This window comes from Homo sapiens, chromosome 4 (genome assembly GCF_000001405.40).
Source record: "Homo sapiens chromosome 4, GRCh38.p14 Primary Assembly".
NCBI classification, from domain to species: domain Eukaryota; kingdom Metazoa; phylum Chordata; class Mammalia; order Primates; family Hominidae; genus Homo; species Homo sapiens.
The window spans coordinates 48,986,050-49,004,754 of record NC_000004.12 but is presented as its reverse complement, the minus strand read 5'-3'; the positions used below and the strand labels follow the sequence as shown (position 1 = coordinate 49,004,754).

The 18,705-nt window shown below is 41.8% G+C and overlaps 1 protein-coding gene across 7 annotated transcripts in view; it reads right to left on the bottom strand.

Annotated features, from left to right (window-relative positions):
• CWH43 (cell wall biogenesis 43 C-terminal homolog) overlaps positions 1–18,480 on the bottom strand; it is a 75,805-nt gene extending 57,325 nt beyond the window's left edge. For 2 of the 7 annotated variants that reach the window (XM_011513755.2, NM_025087.3), the window contains exons 1-7: positions 18,283–18,480; positions 16,087–16,278; positions 13,181–13,301; positions 12,665–12,819; positions 9,935–10,136; positions 6,207–6,295; positions 763–1,020 (exon numbers count right to left, since the gene is read on the bottom strand). In XM_011513755.2, coding sequence (XP_011512057.1) covers positions 763–1,020; positions 6,207–6,295; positions 9,935–10,136; positions 12,665–12,819; positions 13,181–13,301; positions 16,087–16,278; positions 18,283–18,325 — 1,060 coding nt within the window. In that variant the 5' untranslated portion in view covers positions 18,326–18,480. Of the gene's footprint in view, positions 1–762; positions 1,021–6,206; positions 6,296–9,934; positions 10,137–12,664; positions 12,820–13,180; positions 13,302–16,086; positions 16,279–17,682; positions 17,942–17,969; positions 18,117–18,282 lie in introns of those variants that run through there. The other 5 variants (XM_011513757.3, NM_001286791.2, XM_011513756.4 and 2 more) reach the window with 4 other exon arrangements.
• Positions 18,481–18,705: the final 225 nt, after the last annotated feature.

Here is an 18,705-nt window from a genome sequence, read left to right as displayed (position 1 = left end):
GATTTACCATTTACACTAAGATATATGAATTTTTTGTTACAAATATGGTAAATAAAAATAATAGAGTCTAGGTGTGGTGGCTCACACCTGTAATCCTAGCACTTTGGGAAGCCAAGGCAGGAGGATCACTTGAGGCCAGGAGTTCAAGACCAGCCTGTGCAACATAGCAAGACCCCTGTCTCTACAAAAAATTTTTTAAATTAGTGGAGTGTGGTGGCCCACACCTAGTAGACCCAACTACTTGGGAGGCAGAGGTAGAAGGATCGCTTGAGCCCAGGAGCTCAAGGCTGCAGTGAGCTGTGATCACATCACTGCCAGAGTAAGACCTCATCTCAAAAAACATTCATAAATAAAATTCAGGGGAACCCCAAAAAATCACAATCCCCATGTATATTTACGAGCCAACCACTGAAGTGGCAGCATGAGTATCATGATCATACCTTTTCCTAACGCATCGTATAACACAAGTGTTACATTGTTTACGCTTTAGTATGGACTGAATCTTTTCACAACTAATTAATTTAAAAGACCTTTGTAGTAATAAGTATTACAGAAATGCGCTGGTAAATTAATACATTTGATTTTAATTTATAATTTAGACATCACTCCAGGTTTTGTGTTTTAATCAAGAGAGTCTATTTTACCAAGAAAGCTAGATCATCCTGCTTATTTCCACCAGTTACATAAAGTGCTAAATCCTGGTCAGTCCATAAGGATATTTTTGAGCAATTATTTTAATCCAGACCTTTCAAATGTACTCACCCAAAAGCACATCTGATCTTTCTCTAGCGTAGACACCTCCTGGGACAAACTTAAAAGCTGTGCACCAGGCACAGAAAAATATTTCTAGAAGATAAAATATCATGGCAATGGTCATGGTTTTCCCAGGGTTTGTCCCTGAGTTAATAAGGTGTCCAAGTGTTTGGGGCCACATGGATGCAGTAAAGATGGCGAAGACACAGCCAGACACAGCAGCTGCCCATGTGTGCAGGTAAAGGAGCCCCGCAGCTGAAGCTGTTCCTGTTTGTGAGAGAGAAAAGAATCAGACAGGAAAGCAGTCGAGCTTAGAGGATGACCAATTTATAGCCTTTAGGACCAGAACAGACCTTAGGGGTATACTGATCCAATCTCCAGACAGATGAGAAAACTAAGATCTGACAAGGTTAATGTGATTTGCCTAATGTCACACAGCCAGTTATTGTCTCAACTGGAGGTAGAATGTGGATCTAGTAAATCTCAGTTCACTGCTATTTCCTCAGAAAGGGCAGGAGGAGTGAAAAGGGTATTTTTAGGTAATTGCTGTTAAGATCCTAACAGCAATAAAAACTAAAATTTCTGCAATACCAAAAATATGTCCAAAAATATTACATTTAACCAATCAGATGCAGGACATTAGAAAACAGGTAGAGTGTGGTTTCTAGAACACCTCTGTTAAGGGGCTTCTAAGGAATTTCTGTCCATCTAAATGCTACCACCTGTCCTACAAGAGGTACATTGACTTTTCCAACCACACAGCCCCAAGAGAAGACATAGCATTTGTAGGCTCACTGCTTTAGCAATTCTGCAATCAGTTCATTCATTACCCAACAGCCTGCTAGGTGTCAGGAGCTATGCATTCTGCCTGATCCACAGCAGGCACTCTGTAAATGTTAGTTTATTGAGCCAATGCTGAGATCACATAACCTTTCCCCCAATCCTTGTGAAATCAGCTTTGAAATAGCACTGCAGGGTCCACTCCATCTTGGGACCATCAATATAACCCCTTTCCATAGAAAATATGGCATTTTTGAAACATTCCAATCCATGTTGTATAATTGGGACCCACCCTTCAAGGGTAGCTAGAGCAGGCTCTTCACTACTTCGGCCAAGAACTCCAGAAAGGAGTGGGAAGCAGAAAGTGGCCCCAGTCAGCATCTTAATGCCCCATAGCTCAATAAGTTCATCAATACATTCCATTGCACCATCACAGGGCAATGCCACCTGCCTGACTGCCTATTTCTCCCCACTTCAAAAAGAACATCTCTCAGATGAGCATGAGAACTAGATTCCAAGGTCCTCTACAACCCATGGAGTTTAACTCCATAGGGAGATTTCAAATACCTAGATTCTCAATGGAATTTTTTCATTTTAAAATAAAACAACTGTAATGCCTATTTGCTTTAGAAATTTTAAAAATACAGAACTGAAAAGAAGCAATTAAGGATTGTCTAAGACGGAGATAACCACAGCCAATATTTCTGTGTATTTCTAAGTCTCTTCTGTGTATATACAGAAGTATTTTTACATAAATGGAATTGTACCACATATTAAAGACTATATGCTGCTATTTATGAAACATTATATCAGGAACATTTACTAGTGTAAATAATTTTTTTCTAAAACATTTTAATGTACATATAATACTTCACTGGATAAATACACCACAATATAAGTAAGCATTTTCCTATTGCTGGCCATTTGTGAAGGTTCCTATGTCAAGCTTTTAAAACAACAGTGTGATGAACATCTTTTTTTGTCAATGATCCCTTACCACATTACCTATTATTTCCTTAAAACAGATTCCTAGCAACACAACTCTTATGTCAAGGGGCATAAGTATTTTAAAGTCATGACTTGTGACCAGTTGCTTTCCTGAAAGCAACTTTCAGGAAACCTTATACCCAGCTTTCAGGAAACCTAATACTTGTCTTTGCTTCCTGCAGAAAACTTGCCAAGTCTTGACACCTCTCACATCCTGCCAAAATTTCATCTTTAATTTGGTAAAAATCTTTACCAAATATATGTAATAATACCAAAAATCTTTACCAAATTAAGGTCGAAAATGCTATGACATTTTAAATTGCACTTATTTGACTGTTAGTGAGGTTGAATTTTTCTTACTTACGGCTTACAATGACTGTTTTTAAAAGAATGATCCCGAATTTGATATTCTAATCTAAAGACGTTAGAATAATATTGTTCTCCTTACTACAGAGAATTATCTAGAGGGAATGAAAACATCTCTCAAATTTATCTTGACTGTTATCATTTTTATTTCTATTTTTAAATAGGCTCTATATTTTAAATCCACCAAAATTGTACTGTTTAAATAGGTTATAAATTCAAAATTACAATTCAAATGCTACAAAAGGGACTTTCTGACCCGTAACCCATTTGTTCCCCTTAGTGAAGGCAACCAATCCAGTGTAAGCACTTACCATTGCATCCTTCCAGAGATACCCTACACATACAAAGAAATACATATGTGCATGCATTTCCCTTCCTTTTTGTACACCAATGACAGTATATGATACGCACTGTTAGTCACTTTACCTTTTTCATTTAACTGTATTCCTTAACTGCTTTTGTTTGAGGCCCTCCAATAATCTCCCCCAAATCTGTACAACATCAAAGACATCAAGCAGAAGTAATAGTTAACTATTTCAATAACAATTATAATAACTGACATGTAAGTTTTCAATAAATGAAGTTTTCCATATAGTAAAATTATCTGGACACTATAGTACAATGGGGTCCTATCAATATGTTTACTATATCTAGACTTTTTTTAAAAATAGAACTCTGGCTTTACTAATTTAACTGCTATCAACATTTAAAGCACCTGTATCTTTGCTTGTATGAAATTGTTCAGTCACTGCCATAATTAATTTCATGCTGAGTCTCCAGTTGGGATTGTCAACATAAACTGTGCAATGGGAAAACAGGATTTCTTTGGCCACAGCTTGCATTATTGTGTGGTTTCCAGAGATGAATCACAGTGAAAAGTGGGCACCACCTCCAGATAATTAAGCTTGAGCTCCAACTTATTGCAGGTGAGTAAGTGATCAGAAAGGAAGATGAAGCTGGTGAATTATGGCCCTGCTTTCTTCTACTGCAAGCAGCCTTCTAGAAGCCTTAAATCTGCTTTTCTTAGAGTCTTTAAAGCTACTATTTAATACTCCAGAGAGACAACAAAACTAGATTAGGTTTGACTCTCAAGGATATGACCTTACTTGTCTGGGGAAATAAGCATAAGACGGTAGGTTCACAGCTTTCCTGTTCTTTAACTAACAGTCTATTTCTCTGTGTTCTTCAGGTTAAAATGAAGCTGTTAACTACCTGCCCAATAAGCACTTTGCTTATACTTTATGTGAAAAGGCATGATATAAATGCTGAACAAACGCTCAATGCATTTCTTTTTCCTTTTCCAAGTTATATGCAGATTAAGAAGCTACTGTATATGCTTAATGCAAACTCAGCACTGACAAACTTTCCTGGCCCTTTTCCTGAGGAATCTCACAAATAAACTCTCTGATGAGAAGAAAGATTACTCTTAGGTACACACAAACCTCCACAGGCTCCAAATACAATGCCTATCAAAAAATACACAAGCAATACAAACAGCTCAACAAGACTGCAACAGTATGTTCACATAGCTCCAGGAGGAAGAGGACCTGGCCAACCTCATCGATTTAGCCACGTATCTGGATTACACATACATTTCCATGCAAATGTGACGGCACTTACGGTGTACAGAAATTCACTTGCTATGTTGTCATCCTAAATCTTCTATTACTGATACAGTCTCTCAAACCCACACACAGCACCTAGAGTACCACTCTGAATCACCAACTTAATTAACATGTATTAACAACATCTCATCTCTCCTCACATAAACCAAATATAGTATTTGCTATATAATAAAGTGGTTTTTTTTTTACTTAGAGTCAGAAAACCTGACTATAATCATTAAATATTGCCTTTTAAGGGAAAGGAGGAGGGCTGGCATAATTCTGTTATAGGAAAATAAGTTCAATGCTCCCTCCTCTTCACAAAGACTAGGGGAGAGGGAAGAGGGCAGCCCAAAACATGATTGTCTTCACTGATACTTCTGGGGTCCTAAAGGGTGTAACTGGGAAGAGATGGGTCAGGTCTTTGAGTAAGCAGACATGGACCCTACAGCTGGGTGGAAGGCTGGGAGCTCCCCTGTTACATGTAAAGGAGAAAGGGAAATGGAGCTTCATCATGGAACTCTAAATGGCATTTTTGAAACACGGAAAAGCAAGGAATCTTGAAGAGTGAAAGAGGTCTGGCAACTGGCAACATGGCCATGCACAGCCCTCATCTCCTCAGTAAAATCTGCTACTGATGAGAATTACTTATGGGTTCACTGTATCCATCAGGTGAGGGACAGCCTAAGAACTCTGACTTGACCACTACCCAATCTATGCACCTATACACTGCTGGTGAGAGTGTAAATTAGTCTAACATTTGTGGAAATCAGTGTGGCAATTCCTCAAAACAGAATTACCATTTGACCTAGCAATCCCATTACTGGGTATGTACCCAAAGGAATATAAATTGTTCTACCATAAAGACACATGCACGCGTATGTTTATTGCAGTGCTATTCACAGTAGCAAAGACATGGAATCAACCTAAATGCCCATCAATGGTAAACTGGATAAAGAAAATGTGGTAATATACACCATGGAATACTATGCAGCCATAAAAAAGAATGAGATCATATCCTTTGCAGGAACACAGATGGAGCTGGAGGCCATCATCCTTAGCAAACTAATGCAGGAACAGAAAACCAAATGCTGCATGTTATCATTAAATGGGAGCTGAATGATGAGAGCACATGGACACAAAGAGGGGAACAACAGACACTGGGGTCCACCAGAGGCAGGTAGGAGGAGAGAGAGGATCAGGAAGAATAACGGGTACTAGGCTTATTACCTGGGTAACAAAATAATCTGTACAACAAACCCCCATTGCACGAATTTACTTATGTAACAAACCTGCACATGTACCCCTGAACTTAAAAGTTATCAATCAGTCAATCTCACTTGTAACCCATAAGTTTATACAAATAAAATAATATACTTTAATTAAAAATCAAGAATTTTTATAAATCTGCTACTTAACACATGTGCCTTGTTTATGTATTTTTGGGAGTAGGTAGTATTATGGCAGTGTAGTCCAGGAAAGCAGCACAGCCACAGGAGGAGGGGGAGGCGGAGGTAGGAGGAAGCAGGAACTCAGAGCAGGTAGTCACCGGTGACCTTGGTGACATCTGCATTATAGTTGCTGTTTACAACAGCCCATTTGGCCACAGTACATATTTGTATGGTTGTATCTACTTTCAGTCGAGTTGCGCATGCTTGCAAACAAACTGGATAACCAAGCTCAGTCGTGTTCTATCTGCAGGTAAATTCCACATACCTGTAACCCACCAGATCAAACCAGTACCACGAAACCACAAACAAGATGGAAGCATCAATCCACTTGCCAAGCACAGCAGTACTGCACCTCTGTGAAAAAGGACATGCTCTAAGACATGTGACATTAGTAATATTTCATCATCCCGAATATAAAATAGAAATATACCTCCCACCTCTGGGTACATATAAGAGATAACGTGTGTGAAACAACCAGTGAGATCATGAGAGCCCACTGGAAGCCAATATTATACACATTCAGAACAGAGAAGGAATAAAACCTCTGCCATGAGATCAATGATATCTGCCAACTTATCATGTAAACACAGTAACCAAGCTTTCTCAGACTATTAAAGTACAGTCCATGTTGGTCAGTAACATTTTAAATGATTCTGCCAAGAACAAAAAGCAAAGGTCATTGGAATGGTTTCTATTTAGTTTGCTTTTTTTTCTTTCTTTCCTCTACCTCAATACTGCTCTTGCCTAGAGTCTCGGCCTTCCCAAGACCAGCGTCAGTTTGATAAATAACTGATAGCTGTGTGTCTTTTAAAACAACCACAAACTATTTTATTCTGTTGCTATTTTGGCAAAAAGTTGCAAGAGGAGGAAAAAAGAAATTTGACTAAACTTTAGAAGGAAACCCAGAAACAATAATAGCTAGAATATAGGACTCATTTAAGTAGCTGTCACATAAATTAAGCTCAAAACCATAGCATGCACTACATACCAGGCACTATTTTAAGATTTTCCCCTGTAATTATTATTCATTTAATTCTCATGTGCCTGTAAGATAAATGCTAATATTATCCCCATTTTGCAGAGGAGAATTCTGGGGGAAAGGGTATGTAAGTAACCTGCTTGAGGTCATACACAGTAGCCCACATAGGACTAAGAATCTAAAATTGTCCTCAGGCTCTGGGATGAGGCTGTTAGCCACATTACTGCCTGCTCCTACCTGTGTAAGAATGACCCTGGGGCTACAGAAGACCAAATATGAGAAGAGGCCATGAAGGACAGTGTGGATCTTTTTCTACTCCCAAATCAACAACAAATATTTTTGAGTGCCCACTATGTGCCAGGCTCCATTCTAGGTGTTTGGGATGCATCAATGAACAACGATCCCTTTCTCCCATAGAGCTCACATTCCAGTGGGGGAAACATATAATAAACACCATTAATAAATAATGCAGATAGGGCCAGGCACAGTGACTCATGACAGTAATACCAGCACTTTGGGAGGCAGAGGTGGGAGGATTGTTTGAGGTCAGGAGTTTGAGAGCAGCCTGGAAAAAATAGTGAGACCTTGCCTCTACAAAAAAAAAAAAAAGTTTTAAGTTAGCCAGGTGTAGTGTCAGGTGCCTGTAGTCCCAGCTATTCATGATGATGGCCTAATGCAACATTTCTCAAGCTGGTTCTGAGAAACACACCTATTCTGTCAGATATTAATAGATGTTCTAAAGAAGAATTCCATGTTCAAATAACTTTAGGAAACCTGCAAAAGTCTCTAATATGCTGATGTGCATTGTGAAGCACAAAGAAAGGGAGATTGAAATGCACTATTTCCTCAACCTATTTGATGTAGAAGCATTTTCTTTTTCTCAGAGTAACCATTAACATCTCAAGAAACCAGCATCTCACAGAACACAGTTTGGGAAATGCTGGTCTTGTGAGTTGCAGTTCCGTCTTCAGTGTCTCATTCTAACATACAGGATTAGGAAATGTCTGAAAAGCAAATGCTGATTTTATATATGTGAGAAAGTTTCCCCCTGAAGTTTAGTTACATTCTTCTTGTGAGTAAAGCAAGGCCAGGGATGTAATATGATTGGCCCAGAGTTGAATGGTGAGTTTCTCCTGGTTACCAGGACTCACCATTTACCATTAAAGTTCTTCCTTTACTCTGCCACAAAACTTATGCTTGTTTTCACAGGTAACTTTGGAAACTAAGCTTTAACACATAGGAATAAACTTCTTCCTTCCTCTCTGGCCTTTTGTTCCTTTCTTTCTTCTCTGCCTTCCTCCCAGATATGGAAGAAGATACAGACTCTAAATGAAATAATATTTTCAAAAGTCCTTGTTCAGGACCTGACACAGAGTAAGTAATCAACATTCATTCCTTTTCCCATTCCCTGCCCTCAAGGGACTTAGTGTCTAGACAGGAAGAAAAACATTTTTTAAAATCTGTAATACAGAATATAAAGTTTCTAACAGATACATATATATATGTGTGTGTGTGTGTGTGTGTGTGTGTGTGTGTACACATATATAACACATATATAAAAATTGATTGACTCAAAGTATTATAGTATGTGGCATAAAGGAGGATCCCCTGTGATAATAACAGAATAATTCACAGAGAAAATGTTTGTGCTGGGTTTTGAAGGGAGTAGGGCTTGCCAGGACATCAAGGCAGAAAAGCAAGCCCAGGCAGAGGGGGGACAGGAACAGTCTGGCACTTCCAGAGAAGCGCAAGTGGGTTCGACTCAGGTGAAGCAGGAGGATAAGATCAGAAAGCATTTGGAAAGGTAAGTAGGGGGGCCAGATCCTGCCTCATATGGGAGAATTGGGGGCCACCAGGTATTGGTGGGGGGGAACTGCTGAGAGGTTATCAGTAAAGGAGTGGTGGAATCAGATTTGCATTTTACAGAGATCATTCTGGAACCATGTGGAGAAGATTCTGCTAAAGAGAGACAATTAGGAGACAACAGTAATAGCCTGAATGAAAAAATGGTGAGGACTCCACTAAGGCAGATGAACTTAGGGATAGAGAAGAAGGGGTTAATCTAAGAGAAGTCATAGAACTGAGTTGGAGAAAATGAGGAAGATGGAGAATTCTGGGCAAACTCTTGGTCTCAGGTTTGGATGATGAGGTGGACAGACAAAATGGACCTGGGAATGGGGGAAGAAGAACATGCGTGGAGGACTGGGAAATACTGAGTTCAGATTTGGACAAGCTGAGGTTGACAAGCCTGTGGGATATGCCCAGATCCCTGCTGGGGAAAGATCCAGTAGGCAGCTGCATGCCTTCAATTGTAAGAATTCAGCACTACAAGAGAGAAAAGATATCGGAGGCAGATCTTTTAAGAATTCCTCCAATTTTTTTGCAAGAAGAGATGGAGCCAGTTACAAGAGAAAAGATGTGTCAGGAAGAGCAGAGAGAGAGTTAAAAAGGACCAAACACAAGGACCAACACTTGACTCCAGACTACTAACTCCCTGTGTGACCCTGTCCCACAGCTGGAACAAGAAAGTACCAGAAGATGCAGGGATCTCCTGGGGCTGCCCTCCTTTGCTGAGAATAGAGATCTGTGCCCCAGGCAGCCAACCTAGTCTCCTCAGGGGACTGTGGTCTTATCCTACTAAATGCCCATAACCATAACCAGAGGGTCTGGAGGAAATGGCCAGGGAATGCTGCTCCTCTCCCACCACTGAGAATGCTCTTCTGTGCAGGCATTCCTCGAGATGCCTATGCTGGAGCTCTGGGAACCTCTTACTTAGCTGTGCACAACCATTGGGCCTCCCACATCTACTTTTCAGCAATCCTTCTGCACAGAGGAAAAGACCCTTCTAGTGCCCTTCTCTCCAGAGCACACAATAATTTCATGCCACATTCTGATATCTAGGGAGAGTGGTATGAAATATCTGGCTAGCACAGACCTAGCTGTCTGACAAAGGAGGCATTGCTTCCTCCAGGCATAACTGCCGATTTTGTGATTGCTTCCAAACCCAAACTCACCCAAATGGGTTAGGATCTGGCCCTGGATGTGGATGCCCACTCACTGCCCATCTGGAAACAAGAGAGACTTCTCCAAAAACCCAGTGGGTGAGGAACACAAGGCTACCAAAAGCAGCCCCTGCCAGCAGCCAGTTGGGTCTAGAGGCCATCCCCGTGGCTACCTCACCAGTCTTCTTTTCTTCAGGTTTACTGCAGTCACCATCTAGAATTTAAAAATACATATATGGAAAAAGTTTAGTTATATGGAAATTTGCGCTCTATATTTAGCAGACTTTTAGCAAGGAAGAAATGGTATTTGGCTTCAAGAAGCTTACTTCGGAAGAGGAGATGAGACATGCAACTACAATATGAAGCTAAACATGCTGACAGCTATTTAGTGGGAGACATAATTCCATGCAGGCCAGATAAGGAATGGTTTAAGGGAGAAAAGGCATTTTGGAATTCAACAGGTGAAAATGCAGAAAATTATTTGCTTCATGTGAAGCTAACGCATTGCAGAAAAAGTGTTTGTGTTTGTGAACAAATGTTGTACAAATTGAGTGGAACATTTCCAGTACACAAGCTGCTTCCTCCCAAAGAACAGGGCTCTCATCTAACCCTCTGTGGGTGCAGAGTAATATTAGTGCATTGACTGGGCAGCCACTGTGCACCAACCCCTCTTCCAAGCCCTGTATATTAACTTTATATTAACTCATTTAACTTTCACAACTTTATGAGGTAGGCTCTACTATTAATCCTATTTTACAAATTAGAAAACAGGGCCAGATGCAGTGGCTCGAGCCTGTAATCCCAGCACTTTGGGAGGCCAAGGCAGGTGGATCACCTGAGGTCAGGAGTTTGAAACCAGCCTGGCCAACATGGTGAAACCCTGTCTCTACTAAAAATACAAAAAAAAAAAGTTAGCCGGGCACGGTGGCAGACGCCTGTAATCCCAGCTACTCGGGAGGCTGAGTCAGGAGAATCGCTTGAACCTGGGAGGCAGGGGTTGCAGTGCGCTGAGATCGTGACACTGCACTCCAGCCCGGGCAACAAGAGTGAAACTCCATCTCAAAAACAAGAAAACAGACACAGAGAGATCAGGTAGCCTTTCCAAGTTCACACAGCTAGTAAAGATAACCTAGGAACCTGGGATTGGAGCTTAGGCAGTGTAGCTCTTTGGTACTGTTTAACCAAGAGGTCCAATTCATCACAGCAATGACTTCACACACAAAACTGTAACAACTGGAGAAGATGCCAGCAGGAGGACTTCTTCGTAGAAACAGAGAGAGCCTATTGGGCAGATGCTTTGTGACCCCATCCAGCCCTCTACAGGACAGAAGGAAGGTCTTAGGGTCTGACAGTATGGCTGGCAGTCTAATTTCCCAAGAAAGCTTCTCTGACATTAACAGGATCAGAGTGAGGAGGGGCAGAGCCGAGAGCTATGGGGATGGGATGGAATGGGAGAAGGCGGTGGTGACAGAAGGGAGGCCAGGGGTCTGGGGGCTCAGCGGAGAGTTTTGAGGAAAAAGAGCCATCTAAACTGAATTTGCTGAGTAAAATGCAGTGTATTACAGTGGGTGACTCCACCCCCACCCAGGACCCAACAAATCTTCAAAGGAAACTACAAAAAATACTTGGTATGCTCAGATAGGCTGAGAAGGTGCAGGGTGAACAGTCAGTTTTATAAAGGAAGGCACAGAGCAGAAATGGAGGAAGGGACTGCCAGCCAGGAACTGGGTCACATACATTTAAAACAGAGGCCAGATAGAAGAAAAGTCAGGAGATGTAAACAGTACCCTGAAGTTCAGATCTTTATCAGGCTGTACCGGCAAAATGGGCTGCCCGAGTCTCTGCCTCTAGATATGAATGTAAAACATAAGTTAGGGGACCAGACAGAGTTCTAAGTCTTCTACTATTAACATCACAAGGCCAATTTACTGACATAATTTCCCTCTATTCTCATTTCATGCCAAACTAGGGGCCACAGGGGGAATTATACAAGCACTTTTTGGTGAGCCAATACCCTCTAAACTTCCATTAGTCTGTGAGATTTCACCTTGTAGTTACAGAAGAACAGTGACTCACTGAGAGTTACACAAAAAGCTAGGAGCACGTTAACTAGAATCCACTAATACCTCTCCCTTCTTTTTAGAAGAGTCTCGGGTTGGTTTATGAAACAAACTCTAAGCTGGGCATGTTTCTGTCTCGGAGAAAGCTGGCCCCTGGGAGAGACAGGTGATTGGAAAGTCAGTATGCATATGCAAGGTTTCTTATCTTTTCAATTCTTAGATTTGGAGCTTCAGACCTCTGGGAAAAAAAACCCAGGGAGTTCCAGTGACAGCCATACGTGACAGAAACTTTCCTTAGTGTTACAGATGTACTGAGGTCAGTGTGGAGGTGGAGGATGGAGAATCCCATCCTAGAGAGCTCTGACCAGGGGAAAGAAGGAGGAAGACAGAGCTGAATGCCAGCTGGGATATGAGGCCTGGTTCTCGTCTCCCACTGCCACAGTGCTACAAACCAGTAATGGTATTTTATTTTCACCCTCTGTCTGTACAGGCAAGGAAAATGTGCCTCCTGCTTAGCAAATAGCCCACTGGCTGCACCAATTATTATTTCAGAGGAAGAAAAAGCTGAAATATAGATATAATGCAGAAAGACTACTTTTATAGATTTTCTTTCCAAGATGTGCAACATTCACATAGGAAAGGTAAGCTCTGCAAAGAGAAAATTCCTAAGTTACAGTATTACCTGTGCCAATACGATCAAGTGTGGCTATGGCACTTAATGTCAGTATCACTTTGTTGGACATCTGATAACTCCAGATTGGGTTTAGTGAAGTATACCATATGCGTAGAACAACAAGAACAATCTGTCCTAAAATGAATCCCCAAATTCTGAGGTACCTGTAAGTGCAAAAGTATTTTTAAACACTTTTTATGTGGACTCAATGTACTATGTCCATCATGAATTTCAGTTTCATAGAATAAGTAGCTGAAATAGTCTTATTGGTAATTTGCAATAATGAATGTGATTTAGCCTCTATATAGCAACTTCAGCAACTTGCTATAATTCTTTAGTTTTCAAAACCTTATTGAGATTGATGGCAAGTATTCATGTCCTTGTTTTGGGAAAAGGAAAAAAAAGGAGACTTTGACAAAGCCATATGGAAGGTAAAAACTATAACCTGGAACTCCTGGCCCCAGGTTTCCCTTTGGTAACTGGTTATACTTGTTTGTCTATAAGTACATGAAACATTAACCATACCTTTGCAAATGACTTCCTGACCACCAAGTCACAGCTTGCACTATCAGTGAGGAAGACACCCCAAGCGCAAGAACCATCAGTCGAAGTTTGGCATTTGGAGCCTGGAAGGAGGCTATGCTGCCTACAAACAAAATAGGGAGAGCTAAGCATTTCTGGCAAGTATGGATTGGAACTCCGTGATCTGCATTTGATGCATGTTATCTGATACCATCTTTATACTCAGGAAGACAGAGTTGATGTATAATTTTATATATGTATTTAAAATTTTTATTGAAATACAATTCACATATCATAAAAGTCACCATGTTAAAATATACAATTCAATGGTTTTTAGTATACTCATAAAGTCGTGCAACAATCACCATTATCTAATTCCAGAACAATTTCATCACCCCAAAAAGAAACCCCATCCCCATTAGCAGGTCACTTCTCATTCCCTTCTCTCCACATGCCCTAGCCTCTGGCAACCACTAATCTATTTTCTGTCTCTGCGAATTTTTCCTATTCTGGGCACTTCATATTAAATTGTACAATATGTGGCCTTTTGTGACTGCCTTCTTTCCCTTAGCATAACGTTTTCAGGGTGCATCCAGGTTGTAGCATGTATCAGTGTTTCATTATTTCTCATAGCTATATAATATTCCATTGCATGTATATACCACATTTTGTTTATCCATGTATCAGTTGATGGGCATTTAGGTTGTTTCCATTTTGTGGCTCTCATGAATAATGCTGCTATGAACATTTGTGTACAAGTTTATGTGTGAACAGATGTTTCCATTTTTCTTGGGTACATACCAAGGAATAGAGTTGTTAGATCATATGATAACAGCTTCTATCACGCTTTGCCAAAGCAGCTGTGCCATTTTATATTTCTTATATTTCTACCAGTAATGTGTGAAGGTTCCAATTTCCCCACATCCTTGTCAACACTTATTATTGTCTGTCTTTTTTGATTATAGCCTTTCTGGTGGATCAAAAATAATCTAAATTGATAGGAGTATGAACTGGTTTCATAGTTAATTACACAGTAATTAACCTAAAATATCTGAGGTGCCAGAAGTGAGATGGCATGTAATGCTCAGATCCTCTCTGTATTTATATAAGAATATCTCAGGACTCTAAAAACAAAGTTGTTTCATGTCCTTAAGAAGTATTTGAAGGGAGTTTTAAGACAAATCGTGGCTTACTTTAGCCTCTGTTAGCAACAACAAAGCTCAATGGTCACCTGGAACAGCACTTAGCAGAGATTGGCCACTTCCTCCTCAACTCTGAGTAATGTTCCCTACCTATTCCATATTTCCAAATATAAATCTACTTCTGCTCAAGGGGATGTGTTTTCATGGAGGAAGAAAGTGAAAAGGGAATAGGAAGCATCAAAATAAAATACAATATCTACCCCAAACTTATTTTATATCACATCCCTTACCATCACCAGAAGTTACTGGGCCAAAAATGGACTTAAGTAATGGAAACTGTCCCAGTAACTACTCAGTCTGTGGATCTATAGGTAAGGCCCACATAGGCAGCACCAAAGGTGACAAGAAAGTACCACCTATGAGATCACTCCCATAAAATCAACCTGAAGTGTGATAAGGAAATGAATCTTGCAAGACTCGGAGCTACGGTGGTTCATGTAAGGATACTGTAAGCCAATGCCAGTTGAAATCAATTAATATTTACTCAGTTAAGGGTAGGAAACTTCATTTGTTATTTCTGGAGCTGAAAATTTCAAGACCATTTGACATGTCTTTCAATTCCTATGGACACCAATTTTGTAAAGGGCACACTTTTCAGGAGTTTTTACCACTATCCTTCTGAGCCTGAGTTGTTTTAAAAACAAGAGCTCTAGGCCATGAGCAGTGGCTCACACCTATAATCTCAGCACTGTGGGAGGCCAGGGAGAATGGCTTGAGCTCAGGAATTCGAGACCAGCCTGAGCAACATAGCAAGACTTCATCTTTACTGACACAAAACAAAACAAGAGCTCTATACCTTTGTGGGGATCCACAGAACTCACTGCTCTGACTGTGTTGTGCGATGGCAACATCCTAGTGAAATGTCACTAAGCAACGCATGACTGTGAGTATATCTGTAGGATATATTCCTAGAAGTGGAATTTCTGGTGAAATATGCATATTTGTAATTTTGATAATACTGCTAAATTGTTCTTCATAGAGGTTGTGCCAATGGACACTCGCACAAGCAATGTATGAGTGCCTGTTTCCCCACCCCTACTGCACAGTGCAGTAAGACTCAGCTGTTCTTTGCCAATCTACTTGTCAAACTCTAGATAAACATATCTGTATGTGTATGATTTATGACCTATACATTTGATTCCATTTTTAAGAACTAATTGTATTTCCTTTCCAGTGAACTGATCAGATCCTGTGCCCCCTTTTCTATTGATTTGTTGGTCTCTTTTTATTATTGGTTTGTAGGAACTCTATATATAAGAGAAATTAGCCCTTTGGCTGAAAGAGTTGCAAATATTTTTCCTAGTTTCTTGTTTGACTGCTTACTGTGGTGTTTTTCATCATAATTTTCACATTTCTTGTGAATTATTATTTAACAAACTTTTTTAAATGGCTCCTGAGTGTTATGTCACAGTTGGAAAGAAAAACACAATGTATTCAAGAGCTGATCAGTTCTTTAAGGTGTCTTTCCCCTACTCATTGCAGTGATTTTTAGGTCTTTCTAGTCTGGAAAAAACAATGGAAATGTAAAACACATTGACTCTCAGTCTAGTCTTCCAATTACTAAAGCTCTTCTAAGGCAGTGGTAAGGAAAAGAGAAATCTTTGATTTTTTAAATTCAAATATTTAGTATTCAAAGAACAGTCTACATAATCTCACTTGATTTTTAACTTAAAAAAAACAACTTAAAGAAACTCTTTTAAATCTTACCAATAGTGATTATCCTCAGCAGGGTTAGCATCCACTTCTTGTTAACCAATTTCCAGAAAGGAGTAATTGTTAGGAATATTGGAGAAAGAAATGCTATACTAAAACCTTCAAGCCCAGTGAGTTCTAGTGTTTGCAAAGGAAAGTAATAGATCATCGGTCCCAGGTCATGGTAGAGAGACCAAGAAACACATCCTACAAAAAAAAAAAAAGTTAAAGAGAGAAAGTGTAACTTCAACATTGTTTCTAACGACAGTCCTGTCCCTCCACTCCAGCCGCTTGGGCTGGTCATTCTTCTTCATGACTCTGGCCTGAACTGGGTTCCAGTTGTCTCCACTGACATGGAACAAAACAAGAGCTCTACACCTGTGTAGGGATCCGCAGAACTCACTGCACTGACTGTGTTGTGCTTAAGAGACTGATGGACAGAAAAGCAATGGCAATTTCCTCGTGAAATGTCACTATGTAACACATGACACTGAGTATATCTGTAGGATATATACCCAGAAGTGAAATTTCTGGTGAAATGTACATATTCTCCCACTCCTCGCATCAGGCCCCAGTAGAGGATGGCTTCCTGCTGCCGTGAGTCTCTCAACATCCCTTGCGTGTTCCTTTCCCTTGCCCATATGGCTGTAGACAGTCTCTTTATTAAGTCCTATTCATTTGGACCATCTGAGTTGAATTTGGCATCCCGTCAGGACCCTGACTGACAAAATTTTCTTACCTAAGTTGTCCCCTGTATAATGAAAAATATTGTGAGAGTCCAAAAGGGCAGCAAGCAGCAGGACTCCCTCCTCCAACCCCAGACTACACCCAAAAGCACTTGAGTGAGGCAGCAGTCGTTCCCTTGAGTAGACCATTTTCAGTCCAATCCTTATGAGGCAGTGCTGGGTAGTGGAATACCCAGATCTGAAGTAAGTTGTACCTCTGCCAACAGCTGCTGTATAATCTTGAGCAATAATGATAATTAACGCTATGGGCACTTGCCATGCACTAGGGTCTGTGCTAAGTATTAACATGTACCATCTGTCTCATTCCTTATACAGCCCCATAAGCTATGAGGTGGGTACTATTTCCGCTCCCCTCTTATAAATGCAAAAACTAACTAAGCAAGAACAAAACAACAAACAAAACACTGAGACTCAGAAAGTTAAGTGAGTACCTAAGGTTACACAAGTAGCAAATGTCAGAGTTGCCCTAACTCTAAGCAGCCTGGCTCCAAAGGTAGCCGGTCTAACCACTGGGCGTGGGAACTTTCTACCAACTGACTTTCCAACCTCCCCTTCTTAATCAGCAAAATAGGACTTTCAACCCCTTCACAGTGTTGTTGGGAGGATTAAATGAGATCAAGTGCACTGAGTACCTAGCACCTGAGGTACTTATTGAATGCTAGGCACTGTACATCTCCCAACTTATAGATACAGGCTGAGCCAGAAAAAAATAGTCTGAAGCACTCCCGAGAATTACCAGCTCCCAGAAAATCAAGTTCTCAGGAAGGCGCCCCACCCAGACCAGAGGGATCTTTGTTTTGTAACGAACCGGGGATTCTAGCAATATCCCAAATGTTTGTCTGGGAACTTTGATTTTATTACTCACACAGCTCCGACAGAATTACACCAATAAAATTGTCCTCGGGATTTTGCAAAGCTGGTGAGAGAGCAGATGAGACTCGAGTCTGATGCTTTTCGCCAAATGCCCAAGTGTGCAGCCGACACCAAGGCCACTTGTCCTGGGCCCAGCCCACGGCAGCAGCTGCCGCCCAGTGTCCACCTACAGCTCCTGGGGAAAACGGGTGCCCCTTTCCTTCTGAATTTTAAAGTTCAGCACTGAACTGTATTAAGTTAAACTTAAAGGCCACGGGTGGGGGGCTTTGGGGACGGTACCGGCCGCGCGGGGTCAAGGCCGACACGAGGAGAATTCGCGCTCCTTGGGCACAATCCCAGGGCTGCTGGGAACTCGGGCGACGGGGTCTCTCGCGGGCGCCTCGCAGACTCAGCTTGAAGACTTCAATCTAGGTCTTTTCCTTTATTCCCTTCAGTAGGAAAAGTTCCCAGGGGACGATAAGCATCTCCACTCTGGGCACGGAGCGCCCTTTTCCTCCTACCTGAACTCAGCCAACCTGGCCTGGCTCCACGGCTCTGGACATGGCCCGGGGAGCTGGCACCCGCGAACTCGCGGCGAGGGGCTTCGGCTTACCCAGCAGCGACTCCAAGAGGATTTCTCTCCACAGCGAGGGCATCGCCGCGGCGAGGGGCAGCGCTTTCCAGGAAAGCCGTGCGGGTCGGGCCCGCTGCCCTAGCCCTGCGCCCCCAGGTTCCCGCCGCCGCGTCCTCCCGGGCCTGCGTCCGCGCCCCTCGTTCCCGCGTCCCGTTGCCAAGTGAGCCCCAGCCAACTGACCCACTTGCCGAACCGAGGCAGTGTGGGGCCGGTCCGCCCGCCCCTTCACGACCACACCCAGCCTCGCCTGCCAGAGCCTGGCCAGGCCGGGCGCCACCTGTGCGCGTTGCGCCGCCTCCGGCGCCTCTGGTCCCCGCCTTTGCCTCCTTGGCGCGAGCCCCAGCGGCACCCTTGGCCGGTGCAGGGGACATGCGTCTCGGCTCTGACTCTGCTATTGGGCCC